The following is a 14,124-nucleotide window of genomic DNA, read 5'->3' on the forward strand; positions in this document are numbered from 1 at the left end:
GGCCCATCCTCCCAGCCCTTAGGAGCACTGTATTCTGTAAGATAAGAATGAGGGTGGGGGTAGGAAAGAGACCCAACCTCCCTGATAGAGACCACTGAAAGGAGCTGCTGTTAATTAGCAGGCACCCTGGTTGGTGACAAAAGCAAGAGTCCATGTTTATTGAGGATCCCCTCTAGTTTGACTTTGTGCTAAAGAATTTACACTGGGCTATCTTAGGTGATTCAAACAACAGCTTATGATCTACTTATGGTCCTCATTTTGGAGATGAAAAAATGGCGATCTATTGAGGTGTAGGGTACATCTAAGGTTTCACAGTCAGGAGGGGGCAGAGCCAGGACAGAAGCCCAGATTTATCGTTTTCAAGGCCAGAGTTCTAAACCACGGTGCCTTACTGCTTCTAACCTTACATGAAGTCACCACTGCCCACATTTCTGGCCGTCTCAGAGAGGCCCAAGCACCTACAGACAAGCCCATGGGCTTTGAAGCAGGCACTGAGTTCCGAGCATAAATATTAACATAACTGTGTGGGGGCCACTTAGTGACAGGAACTTTCAATGGAAAAGGTGGTTGCTCTTTTCCAAGCATGATATCTTATAGCTGGGGTGCTGTAAGATGTGAGAGAGGGAGAGTCAACAAGATTGTGTGCCCAGCACAAGGAAGGCACTCAGTTATGTCGTAGAGGTGAGAAAAGAGAAGCAACTTTGGCAGGAGGGGAGGAGGTAAGAAAGATTCCTGGCTACTGAGCTTGAGATAGCAGGTTTCTTCTTTCTACAAACATGTATGCAGTTCCTAACATTTGAGTTCCTAACATTCTTAACTGCAGAAGGAACTTATGCAGTTCCTAACAGGTGCCAGATTCTTTTCTAGGCAATGAAATGATTGAGGGGAGGGGGTGGAGACTGTGCCTGACCTCAGAGAACCACAGTCTAGACCAGCAAGGACGGCACCCTTACAATAAAGTATGAAGATGCCATGGCCAAGGACACCTGGGGCATAGAGTATAAAGAAAGAGTGGGAAATTCAGCTTGGGGGTGAGGGTTAGGGATGGACAGATTTTAAGGGGGTTCCGTGAGCCCCACCTGTTTGTATCTATGCCCTTGTGGGTCCCTTCCCCTTGAGTGTGGGCATAACCTGTTAATCACCTCTGGTCTACAGAATGTGGCAAAGGTGAAGAGATGTGCATGACCACGTGTATGTGACTAAGTTTACAAAGCCCGTCTTGTGAAGAGACTTCCTCTTCTTTGCTAGCTTGAAAGAAGCCTGCTGCCAGTTGTGAGCTACCATCCAGAGAAGGCCACATGACAAAGAGCTGAGGGCAGCCTCCAGCTGACAGCTAACAAAAACAAAACAAAACAACTGAAGGCTTTAATTCAGCAGCCTGCAAGGAACTGAATGCCGCCAAGAAACACATGAGCCTAGAAGAAGATCCTTCCCCAGTTTAGCCTCAGAGGAGACTGCAGCCCCAGATGACACCTCTATTGTAGCCTTGTGAGACCCTAAGCAGAGAACCCAGATAAACTGTGCTCAAACTCTTGACCCACAGAAACTTTAAGATAAAGAATGCCTGTTGTTTTAAGCAGCCATATTTGTGATAATATTGTCACGCACCGATAGATAATTAATATGGGGGCCAAAGGGACCTTCCTAGAAGATGGAATCTTAATGTCTTTCTTTCCCAAACTTTAGCCATTTGGCTCTACCTTTCACAGAAAGACTAGTCTATCCTCTAGGGTGATTCCTCTTCTCGGGTTTTTCGAAACAGCCCAGGTTTTATGTGCTATTCCTATTTTCTAAATAAAAGTGATTCCTTCTATGTACAATAAAATTTAATAGAAAATACATCATTCATGTCCTAATTTGTATACCAGTGTAATACATTTTGGTGGGAAAAAAACCCTCGCAATTCAGGAAAACAATTTTTATCAGCCTATGTTTCTTCATTTGGGGTTTGGAAAATACAATTTCACCTTTCCTTTTTCTGACACTGGGGAAAGCCACAAATGTACTAAAGTTGCAGTTTCGGAAACTGAGTACAATGTTCAGGTAAGAAAGTTTGCTGGCTCAAGCAAATGGCATTCTGTCTAAACTACAGGCCAGTTCGACATGATTTCTAAGGAAAGAGAGGCTATTCTTGCCAAGTGGCCACAGTCATGCCTAAGCGTACAGGAGGCAAGCCTAGTTGGCCAACCCAGAGGGAAAGAGAAAATGCAACAAGTTAGATGGTGAGAGTTTCCCAAGAAGTTACTTTTTTTTGAGACAAGATTCTCACTCTATTGCCCAGGCTGGAGTGCAGTGGCTCGATCTCGGCTCACTGCAACCTCCACCTCCCGGGTTCAAGCGATTCTCGTGCCTCAGCCTCCCAAGTAGCTGGGACTACAAGTGCACGCCACCACGCCTGACTAATTTTTGTATTTTTTTTTAGCAGAGTCAGGGTTTCACCATGTTGCCCAGGCTGGTCTCAAACTCCTGAGCTTAGGCAATCTGCCCTCCTCGGCCTCCCAAAGTGCTAGGATTATAGGCGTGAGCCACAGCACCTGGCCAGTTACCTTGGGTTTTGAAAGCAGAAGGGATAGAAAAGAGGCTCTGGAAGAAACCAGGGCAATGCGGATGCTGGATTTCAGGGAGTGCTTGGAATGAAAACAGTTAAGGGAAAATGCAGCCAGATGCTTGAAATGAACTATGGGTATGAGAAGGAAACAGCAGAGAGGAGGGTCTGGGTGTCAAAAGGACACGGGGATAGATGTGCCTGCCTCTGGGACAAAGGAATAGGCAAAGAGCAGGGCAAGAGAGAAAACAAGTAGAGACACAGAGGGCAAAGAAGGAAGAGGACAATGTTGCCCAATGCAAAAGATTCCCAGAAAGATCAACAAGAATATGCAGAAGCAAATGGAGCACCATAACATAAATGCCACAGAAGCAGGGTTTTATCTATTTTGGTCATTGCCATATCCTAGGCCTCAACTCTGTCTGCCACAGACACTCAATAAATATTACTGACTGACTAAACAAAGACTGAAAGAAGTGGGAGAAGATAAAACTAAGATACCAACGGTGAGGCAGAAGAGAGGTTTTACTCAGTTCATCCATCCATCCATTCCATCCACAAACAGTTGTTGACTCTTTTCTTTGGGCTCAGCACTATAATCATCGGGAATAAAGCCACAATCAAAAGAGCCAAGACACCCTGCTCTTGGGAAGTTCACATTCTACTTGGGAAAGACAGGTGTCATACAGGCAAGCAAAGAAAGTAAATACAAAATTTTAAAAATGCTATGAAGGAAGCGAATCAGGATTCAGTAGGGGAGAGTAATTGGGTAGGGGGCAATGAGCATGTGGTCAGAGAAGATCTGGCAGAAGAAGAGGCTGCTGTTGGAGCTAGAATAAGATGATAAGCAGTAGCCAGTTATATGAAGAGATAGTAAAAGTGCATCCCAGTCAGGGTGAACAGCAAACATGGTCTCTGCTGTGAGCTGAATGTTGTGTCACCCCAGGATTCTATGTTGAGACCTAATCCCCTATGTAATGGTATTTGGAGGTGGGGCCTTTGAGAGATAGTTAGGTCATGAGGGTAGATCCCTTATGAATTGGACCTAGTGTCCTTGTAAGAAGAGACATGCAAGAGCTGATTTCTTTCTTGGCTGTGTGAGGTTATAAGAAGGTGGCTGTCTACACACAAGGAGGAAAATGCTCACAGACACCAAATCTGCCAATGCCTTGATCTTGGACTTCCCAGCCTCCAGAACTGTGAGAAATAAATGTTTACTGTTTCAGACATTCAGTCTATGGCATTTTCATTATAGCAACCCAAACTAAGACACTCTCAAAGATGGAAATCCATTTAGGCACACAGAGGGACAGCAAACAGTCCATGTGGGTACAGTAGTGTTCAAAGCGGGGGGGCGTGTAAGGTGAAGTCCTGATGCTAGCAGGAACCAGATGGTGTAAATGGCAAGGAACTTGAGAAGATAACAGGGGTGAATAAATGATGTCATCTGACTTACTTACTTGAAAGTCACTCTTGTGTCAGGGTTGTGAAGGGGCAAAAATAGAAATGAGGAGACAACATAAGGGGACTGATGAGAGAGGACAGTGGCTTCCACCACTGCAAATGGTGGCCCTGGGGAGCAGAGAAGTGGGCAGGCTTATGACCTGCTTACTGTTATTATCGCCCTCATTTCGGAGATGAAGAAATGGAGATCTATTGAACGTACCTTGGAAAAGGAGTGGACCCATCTTGCTGAAATGTTCAAACAAACTGGAAAGGAAGAGAATAGATCAAGAACGGCTGGCATGTTCCTAGCTAAGAACTGGATGGATGGCAATGCCATAGCATGAGATGGGTAAGGGCTGATGGGGACCATGCTGAGGAGGGTGCTCCTTGGGGAGATATGCAGAGTTCCATTTAGGACTGGTTGAGTTGAGATGTCCATTGAACATCTAAATGGAGACGTCTACCCACTTGGGTGGATTGGGAGTTATGGGCCCATATGACACCATGCAGAGAGTGTAGAGAGAGAAAGCCATTGATTTAAAAACAAGGTTTTTTTAACAAGACAGTTTTTTCCAGGCCGGGCGCGGTGGCTCATGCCTATAATCCCAGCACTTTGGGAGGCCAAGGCGGGTGGATCATGAGGTCAAGAGATCAAGGCCAGCCTAGCCAATATGGTGAAACCCCGTCTCTGCTAAAAACACAAAAATTAGCTGGGGGTGGTGACACGTGCCTGTAGTCCCAGCTACTCAGGAGGCTAAGGCAGGAGAATCACTTGAACCTGGGAGGCAGAGATTGCAGTGAGCCGAGATCATGCCATTGCACTCCAGCCTGGTGACAGGGTGATACTCTGTCTCAAAAAAAAAAAAGACAGTTTTTTCCCCCTTTCAAATTAGCTAAAATGAAAAAGAATGGAAAAGACTCTGTTTCTCAGTTTTGGCAAAGATGTGGCAAAATGGACACTCTTTCAAACACGGCTACCAAGTGAGCAACAGAGCAATGTGTATTTAATGCCTTAAAAGTCAATATATCCTTAAACCCAGCAACTACAGTTCTAGGGATTTGGTGGGGAGGGGGGGATGTGGAATGTGCACAAATATGTCTATCCATCTGTATGCTCATGGTAGCTTTCTTTAAATATTGAGAAATAGAGTAGTTCAGTACAATGGAGTACCACACAGCCATTAAAAAAATGATGTGGTAAAATTTTACTATTGTGTCAGAGACAATAACGAAAGATTTTGAAATGAGCAAAGGGGTATGGAATGTCATTTGCATGGAATGCTTCGTGGCATCTAGTGGGCCCTTTGAGGTAATCTGATTCTATAGGTGTCTCCACCTTGCATTGTCTTTGATGAGGCTGTTTTGCAACTCTCCAAGTTGAAAAAAAAAAAAAAGGCAGTCATTCAAATCAATCTTATTCATAGAAATACAAATGAATTTTGCCCTAATTGTTGCTAATTGTTGTCCACCCTGCAGAAAATATGATTCCAAATGTAACATTTTATGGCCGTGGAGATAGTAACCCGCTTTGCATCTGTTAACAAATCATTTTGGATATTTCTGATGGCCTACAGGCTACAGTTTCAATGTGTCCCCTCCAAAATTCTGGTGTTAAAAATTAATGGCAAGTATGCTAGCGTTAACAGGTATGAGCCTTTAAGAGGTGATTAGGTCTTGAGGGTCTCTTGCTCGTGAATGAAATTAAGACCCTTATAAAAGAAGCTTTATATAGCAGTCAGCTCTCTTGCCCTCCACCTTCCCCACATGAGGATACAGCGTTCCTTCCCTCCAGAGGATACAGCAACGCGGTACCATCTTAGAAACAGAGACTAGGCCCTCACCAGCCTTCATCTTGGACTCCCCAGCCTCTAAAACTGAGAGAAAGTAAATTTCTGTTCTTTATAAATTAACCAGCCTCAGGCCAGGCGCAGTGGCTCATGCCTGCCGGGCATGAGCATTATAAATATTATAATTTATAATATAATATAATATAAATTATATTATTTATATAATATAAATGCTACAGACCAAGGACTGGAAAACTATGGGTTGCCAGGCAAATCTGGCCTGCCAACTATTTTTGTAAATAAAATTTTATTGGAACACAGACACGTCCATTTCTCTTCATATTGGTTTTGTACTATAGCAGCAAGGTTGAGAAGTTGCAACAGAGGCCTTATGGCCTGCAAAGCAAAGAATATTTACTATCTGGTTCTTTAATGTTAATGTTTACTGACTTCTGCTATAAATGAAAAACTATTACAAAGCAGGACTCCAAAAATGCATTTTATGTGCATACACAACACACACACACACACACACACACACACACACACACAGAGTCGAAAGTGCAGGAGGGTATAGGTATACAGTAAAACATTTTCTAGGAATCATTGTGGATTTGAACATCTTGCCTTTATACTCCACCCGCCAGTCATGACAGAATCCTCTGAATACTAAAGGGAAGTCCAACCTTAGAATTCTCATAAAATGTTTAATATAAAGTTATTTAAAATGATTCATGAAAGCTGCAAGATGGGGTGGACTTGGAATCAGGTAACTAGTTTGTCCAAGCTTGCCCAAGACTTATCCAGTTTTAAAACTAAAAAGTCCCATGCCCAGAGAACCTCATCACTCCCAGGCAAACTGGGGCCACTGATCACTCCAGCGGGAAATCGTATACTATCGTGGCTTAGGTCCTAGATCTGCTACTCACCAGCCACTTGACACCATTTACCCTGTCTAAGCTGCACTTACTTCAACTGCAAATATATACTCCCCTGTTCTGATATCACCGTGAGTATGAAGTGAGTTAGTGCATGCATGTGTGTTCAGTAAACCATGATGGCAAACAAAAAAAAAAAAGGTCATTATCACTTGGTCCCCTACATAAAATGATGCAACGGCTGGACATTGTGTGACATTACAACATAGATAGGATGAGAGGAAATTACCTAGAAGGTTGTCATGTAATTATAAGGTTACCACATAATATAATTTGTTGTCTAAACCAGGACAGTGTTGAGAGTGGAAGGGGCACCCAATAATGACATTGGCATAACAGGAGTAAACCAAGCCCATCCTGGGCAAGCCTGTACATAGTGTCAGGGACCACAGGGTAACATGGCGTTAAGGCTGGCTTCATGGGTGTCAACCTGTACAGTCACACACGGCCTCACACTCAGAGGGCCGTGTGCTTGGTTTCATGCTCTGATACTTCAGAGCGTGAAAAATTGCTCTTGAAATGCCGTCTTGAAATTCTTAATAATTTTTCAATATGGGGCCTCACGTTTTCATTTTGTGCTAGGCCCTGCAAATGATGTAACCGATCCTGCTTAGGGAGAATCCTACTGGGCAGCGAGACCAGATGGCATGACCTCTGAAACCCATTCCAGGCCTAGGCAGCTAAGCTTCCCCAAGGAGAAAGTTTCAGTTTTAACATCAGCTAGTTCAGATCCCCTGGAGTTAAAAATAACAGTCCATGATGAAGGAAAGGATGGAGGCTGGGGTCCCCAGGCGTCCTCCCTGCCCACTCAGAGCAGATACCGGCCTGCTGTGAGGAGCCTGCCAACACAAGCTCAGAGGTGCTGCTCAGGTTCCACCTCACGCCTGTTTGAACTCTGATTTCATCCGTGGCCAACTTTTCTGCAACCTGGTAAAGGCTTGGGCAACTCAGCAGCCAGATGAACCCTAGAGGGCACTGGAGTGTTAGCCATCCCTCAAAGTTAAACTTACCAATCTGGCAACCCCCAGCCCCACTAATGCTGCGAATGCCATTTATGGGGCTTTCAAGGGCAATAACTGTAAAATCCAGCTCACTGTCTTAACAAACCAGAACAAAGCCGGGTGGCATTGCCAGAGAACTGCAGCTGCTTGCACTGCAACTAAAAAGTCGATCTTAAACTCTGGGGCGAACCCTAGAAAAGACAGCAAGAAGTAAACCAATAGAAAAACCACTCCAGGTTTATTCTGGAGAAGGGAAGGGGCCGTGGACACTGACCGTTTTCAGGTTGCACCTCCCAGAGCCCCAGTCATTCCCATTAGTTACAACAGACTTTCCCAACCCCAGTGCTACTGACTTTTGGGCTGGATCACGCTTTGTTGTGGGAGCTGTCCTGTGCACTGAAGAATGTTTAGCAGTGTCCCTGCCCTCTGCCCAGAGAGGCCAGTACCACTTCCCCCACTCTCCCACACATTGTGACAATCCAAAACTGTCTCCAGACTTTGTCACATGTCCCCTGGGGTGCAAAATTGCTTTCAGTTGAGAAGACCTTGTTTACGGCATAAAAGATCGTCTACATGAATGTTGATTATGGGAATCAAATGAGTTTAGAATGGTTCATCCTCTTAGGACAGTACCTAACAAGTTAAGCACTATATAAGTATTTGTTAAATAAATGAAAAGATTGCACCCCACTACCCCCACCCAGCCCACATGCCAGCAGGAGCGCCCCACTCACCCTACATAGCAATCATTCCATGCGCTTCTCTGTGTCTCTACAGCACCTCCACCTCTATTTTTTGCTTTTGCCTCTATTTATAGCTCTGCCACTTGCTACCAGGGCAAATGTCTTCACTTCTCTGAGTTTCTCAGCTGAAAACAGAACATCTTATTCATCTCATGGAATTGTTTTGATAATTAAATGTGTTCCTGTATGACAGGCACCTGCAACAGTGGCTTGCACACAGTAGGTGCTCAGGGCCTAATGAAGAGGTATTGTTTTTACCACCCAACATTGCCTGACAGGTGTTTGAACAAAAAATGCACCTACATTGCATGGACACTGTGTGTGTGTTTAGGACTAGAAACTTGGCACTGGATTCCAAAGAACAACATGGGATTTTTCTTTCTCTTCCCTCTCTCGCTTATAAATGAGGGCACAGCTGGGTTCTGTGATAAAATGCCCAACTCCACCTGCTCTAGATGTTGCAAAGGTAAGTTTGGGCTCCTATAATTCTGCTCTGTGACACACCTGCTTCTGCAGCTCCTTCCTGGGGTGGGGAGTGGGGTGGGGACACCTGATCATAGGGTGAGCAAGCGGCTCACCAGGACCGAGGGGGTTTCAGGGAGGTGGGACTTTCAGTGCTAAAACCCAGAATGTGCTGGCCCAACCAGGATAAGTTGATCACCCTCCCTGAGAGTTTGGGATTCTATGAGGACTCCTGTCTAGAGTGCAGCGCCACTGCGAGGGTGGTCCTTTATTGTCAGAAACCTCATTCCCAGAAGGAGACATGCAGTGGAAACTGAGCGTCCTCTGCCCTGCGGTGCCCAGCTCCATTCAAGGCAAGCTTGGTCCCTCTGGCTTTCACGGGGATGTGAACACCTTGCCAGGCTCCTCTCTGCTCCTTCCTCACTCCTTGGCACTGGCCTTGGCATCCTCTAGCTGAGCCCAGGTCCTGTCCCTGAAGAGCTGCCGCCCCAGCCCCACTGCCAGCACAACCCCTCCCACCCCACCTGTCCCAGGGCCACCTGTGCTCACTTCGGCTCTATCTCTGCTTGGGGGCCACTCTAACACTGGTTCTCTTTTCACCTTAAAAAGAGTTGCTGGAACCAAACCCCAGTGACTTGTCAGCATTCACGCCACTCCTTCCAAACCCTCCAGAAAGCACACCTGTGGATGAGAGGCGCAATTAACGTTATCAGTCGTGAAGGATCAGAAGGAAAACCCAGTGGCCGTTGGGAATTGTGAGTGCCATAACCACTTCAAGCATTTGGGGTTTTGTTTTATTTTCTCTGGCCTGGAGGGGTGTGGAGAGGGGCCATATATAAGACAAAGCCAGTTTTCTCTTTTTGAGACAGAGTCTCCTTCCGTCACCCAAGCTGGAGCGCAGTGACGCAATCTCAGCTCACTGCAACCTCTGCCTCCTGGGTTCAAGCAATTCTCATGCCTCAGCCTCCCGAGTGGCTGGGACTACAGGTACACCCCATAATGCCCGGCTAATTTTTTGTATTTTTAGTAGAGATGGTGTTTCGCCATGTTGGGCAGACTAGACTCGAACTCCTGACCTCAAGTGATCTACCCACCTTGGCTTCCCAAAGTGCTGGAATTCCAGGTGTGAGCCACTGTACCCAGCCCACTTCAAATTTACCACTCCAGACCTTTGTTCTAGATGGGGAGAACTGGACCCTATGGGAAATCATACGGATCTGAAATTCACCCCGGAAACTGACCTGGGGTGAGGACAACAGGTGGAATGAAACCCCAAGCAGACCCTATAGAGGCAAGGAAGGAGATTGAGACCCTTCTGCAGAAAGCTGTTATGAGCCTAGAATTTTAACTTATGCTATTGACACCATGCCAAGCACCCAAGGAAAAGGAAAGAGAAGAACCTACACCGCCTCCTCCTTGCTAGTGAGTGAGGTAAAATGATCTGGGGAGGAAAAAAAACAAAAAAAATGAGGTGAGAAACACCAGATGGAGCAGAGAGACTGCCCAGAAATTGCTGCTTTTGTCAACCTAGATTTGTTTGCAGGTGAGTGCAGTGTTGATAGAAAGCAAGTCTATTTCCAGAGGGGATCCCCAGGATCTCCTATCAAAGAGCAAGCTCTGGAGCTAGTCCCCAGATGCAGACAGATCTACTGACCGAACCACGATCACTCCAACCCCAATCTCCCAAGAGGTTCTGAGGATACAATAGTTCTCAATCCTTAGGTACACACATTGTTCACAGGGAGTGACTCGGTGGTTATTAATGGCTTATTAGGCTGTTCTTGGAGGTAATTTACATCTCGTTTGAGCCTCTGCTTTTCAGGCATTTTTCTGCAAATGGCTGTAGGCTTTTTTCTAAAAAAAAAAAAAGAAACTAAATCCATTGAATACTCATGCATATTCTCCAAAATGCCTTAAATCAGTACCTAAAACTTGAAACTAGTTTTTCCCCCATTGAAGAAATTATCTGGCCCTGATCTCTCTTACTTGCTGTCCTGTGATTGAAAAGAACTTTTGTGGGGGAATTTTTAAAATAATTGCCACCAAATACTTCAAATGGAATTCAGATAGCAGTCTATTTCACGTTTCATGCTTTTGTGACATTCTTGCTCAGGAATGAATCTTTTATGAAAGGTCTATTTTAAGTTGCACCTTCCAGAACTTTATTTTTGTCTCTGAAAGAAAGAGGCAGAGCAGAACCTGGATTCTTCCAATTCACCGATTTACTGTGAGCTTAGGATTGGCTCTCCTGGGGGTCGGCGGGGTGGGGGGTGATGGGCTTCCAGCAGAGGTGGGGGGCACTGGCTTTGCACTCAGCCTTGCCGTTTTTTTTCAATCAGGCTGTTTTATTCAACTGAAAACAACCCCCCGAGGATTTAAGCACGCCTTCTCGCGCTTTCTCCAGCTCCTCCCTGAAGGTGGAAAAACTCACTTGATCTTAAGCACCAACTGCTGTCCGGTCAAATTTCTCACCTCTGCCAGGGAGCCATGCCTTCGAGTTCCCAGCGCCTCGTGGGGTCTGCAGGCTGGTTGTGGCCTCTGTCAGCGGACCCAGAGTTGTTTTTCCAGGTGTGGGGGAGGGCTTCCCCTGAGCCTTCTCCGCCCACTCCTGTCTGTTCATTCCACAGATTTTTTTACTACCTTCCTTAAGAGAAAGTATCTAAAAACTCATAAATGAGGCAAAAAGACACCTTCATGCCCTTTCCCCAAAGCCACCCTAGCATTGTGTAATAAGTCCTGTGTTAGATTGGGTTCCCTTGATACCGACTCTGAGACAGGCAGGTGCAAGACCAGGGTGTACTGGGGCTGCTCTGGGGAGGAACTCTTGTGGAAAGGGAGGCATGGGTGAGGGTGAAGCTCACCCGCAGTGAGGCTGCCGCTGAGGCCTCAGCCTGTCCCATGGAAAGCTCTGGAGCCCAGGTGGCCATCGGTGTTGTTGCAAATTAAGGCAAGAGCACCAGGCTTTGTATCACCTGTTCAAGACCAACCAGAAGTAAGGGAGGGAAGGTATACACGTGGGGGAGGAAGTTTCCTTCCATCTCAGGTGATTTCCAGGTAAGAACAGAGCTGTAAGCCATCTACCCATATCAGCAGCTGATACTCCCAGCAGCTGTGGGGACAGGGCTGAACCCCAAAGAGGGGATCTGGGTAATACCCGAGGGTCCGTCAATGTGAAGGGATGGGCACTTTGACTTAGTACTTATTGCTGATTAAGGCCCAGATTCTAGATGCTAACTTAAAGGAAATTGCTAAGTTGCAAATAATGTTTGTCTGGTAGAGATGCAAACAATTCCTGTCTGATAGAAAAGATAGCCCCGGGCTGGGCACGGTGGCTCATGCCTGTGAGCCACTTTGGGAGGCCGAGGCAGGGGGATCACCTGAGGCCAGGAGTTCCAGACAAGCCTGGCGAACATTGCGAAACCCCGACTGTACTAAAAATACAAAACAATTAGCCGGGCGTGGTGGCAGGCACCTGTGATCCTAGCTACTCTGAAGGCTGAGGCAGGAGAATTGCTTAAGCCAGGGAAGCGGAGGCTGCAGTGAGCCAAGATCGCGCCACTGCACTCCAGCCTGGGCCACAAGAGTGCAACTCCATCTCAAAAAAAAAAAAAAAAAAAAAAAAGATAGCCCCGAAGGTTATAGTTTCATTGTCCTATATATAGGACATAAACCAGTTTTGAATTTGATTTAGCAAAACCATTTTCAGTACTCCCTCTTTCAATGGCTACATCTACGTGAGTCTGTCATATACTCCTGGGACCAATGTTACCATCCTGCTGGTTTCCTACTCTCTTGCCTCACCCTAGTCCTGGCCCCAGCCCCCATGTTCCCTATATTTGCCTGAGTCATGTTTTCAACATTTTTTTTTTTTCGAGACAGGGCCTTGCTCCATTGCCCAGGCTGGAGTGTTGTGATTATAGCTCACTGCAGCCTTGGCTTCCCAGGCTCAAGCAATCCTCCCACCTTAGCCTCCTGAGTAGCTGGGGCCACAGGCATATACCACCACACCTGGCTAATTTTTTTTTAATTTTTAGTAGAGATTGGGTCTTGCAGTGTTGCCCAGGCTGGTCTCGAACTCCTGCACTCAAGTGATCCTCCCACCTTGGCCTCCCAGAGTGCTGGGATTCCAGGTATGAGCCACTGCACCGAGACATGTTTTCAACTTTGACATCTGTGAGTGCCTCCTCTAGAAACGGTGTTGATGCAGCCACCCTCTGGTGAGCTCTGGTGATTTGTCAGGGTCTGTACCTCACTCTAGATGTGATCAGAGGTAGACACGTGCCTACTATGATCCAGGCGTTGTCCCAGATGCAAGGATGAAGCCAAGAGGCTCTACAGGTGTGTTGCAGCTGAGACCCTAGGGCCAGTCAAAGCTGGGCTCAAACCTCACTGCTCACTGTTAGCCATGTGATCCCGAACAAATGATTGAGCCTGTCTAAGCCTCAGTTTTCATATCCTTAAAATAAGGCTAGTAACAATGAGTGCCTTGAGGAACTAATGCCCATAAAATGCTTTGTCTAGGGAATACTATATTCAATGAATGGCAGATATTATCAATAACCATTCTCTATTTTTATTGTGGTAAAATGTATGACAAAATTCACCATTTTAATCATTTTCAAGTGTACAGTTCAGTGGAATTAAGTCCATTCACATTGTGGTACAACCATGACCACCACCCATCTCCAGAATGTATTCACCTTTCCAAACTGATCCTTTGTGCCCATTAAACACTAACTCTCCATTCCCCTCTCCCTCCAGTCCTGGGTATTCACTATTCCACTCTCTGCCTCTATGAATTTGGCTACTCTGGGTACATCTTATAAGTGGAATCATACACTATTTGTCCTGTTGTGTCTGGCTTTTTTCACTTAGCATGATGTCCTCAATGATGTTGTAGCAGTATCAGAATTTCATTCCTTTTAAGGCTGAAAATATTCCATTGTATGCCTGTATATCACTTTGTGTTTATCCAATTCCTCCATCAACCAACATTTGGGTTGTTTCTACCTTTTGGCTATTGTGGCTAATGCTGCTACGAACACAGGGACACAAATATCTGTTCAAGTATCTTCTTTTGATTCTTTTTGGCATATACCTAGAAATGGAATAACTGGATTGGATAGTAATTCTATATTTAATTATTTGAGAAGCATCCATACTGCTTTCCATAATGACTGCATTATTTCACATTCCTGCTAG

At 45.7% G+C, this 14,124-nt stretch overlaps 1 long non-coding RNA gene across 1 annotated transcript, besides 4 other annotated features; it reads left to right on the forward strand.

Moving 5' to 3' along the window:
• Window positions 7,438-7,937: an enhancer, noted in NCBI's record as "H3K27ac hESC enhancer chr17:63451995-63452494 (GRCh37/hg19 assembly coordinates)". NCBI's record gives its function as "activates a minimal SCP1, AML or CMV promoter by ChIP-STARR-seq in naive H9 embryonic stem cells {active_cell/tissue: H9 hESC(naive)}" and the evidence as "EXISTENCE:reporter gene assay evidence [ECO:0000049][PMID:30033119]".
• LINC02563 (long intergenic non-protein coding RNA 2563) lies at window positions 9,102-9,969 on the forward strand. Its single transcript, NR_131984.1, has 3 exons — window positions 9,102-9,275; window positions 9,595-9,677; window positions 9,950-9,969. It is a non-coding gene; the product is annotated as a long intergenic non-protein coding RNA 2563 (long non-coding RNA).
• Window positions 11,554-12,187: an enhancer, noted in NCBI's record as "H3K27ac-H3K4me1 hESC enhancer chr17:63456111-63456744 (GRCh37/hg19 assembly coordinates)". NCBI's record gives its function as "activates a minimal SCP1, AML or CMV promoter by ChIP-STARR-seq in primed H9 embryonic stem cells {active_cell/tissue: H9 hESC(primed)}" and the evidence as "EXISTENCE:reporter gene assay evidence [ECO:0000049][PMID:30033119]".
• Window positions 12,188-12,821: an enhancer, noted in NCBI's record as "H3K27ac-H3K4me1 hESC enhancer chr17:63456745-63457378 (GRCh37/hg19 assembly coordinates)". NCBI's record gives its function as "activates a minimal SCP1, AML or CMV promoter by ChIP-STARR-seq in primed H9 embryonic stem cells {active_cell/tissue: H9 hESC(primed)}" and the evidence as "EXISTENCE:reporter gene assay evidence [ECO:0000049][PMID:30033119]".
• Window positions 12,822-13,454: an enhancer, noted in NCBI's record as "H3K27ac-H3K4me1 hESC enhancer chr17:63457379-63458011 (GRCh37/hg19 assembly coordinates)". NCBI's record gives its function as "activates a minimal SCP1, AML or CMV promoter by ChIP-STARR-seq in primed H9 embryonic stem cells {active_cell/tissue: H9 hESC(primed)}" and the evidence as "EXISTENCE:reporter gene assay evidence [ECO:0000049][PMID:30033119]".

The sequence above is a fragment of the Homo sapiens genome, chromosome 17 (genome assembly GCF_000001405.40).
Source record: "Homo sapiens chromosome 17, GRCh38.p14 Primary Assembly".
Lineage (NCBI taxonomy): Eukaryota > Metazoa > Chordata > Mammalia > Primates > Hominidae > Homo > Homo sapiens.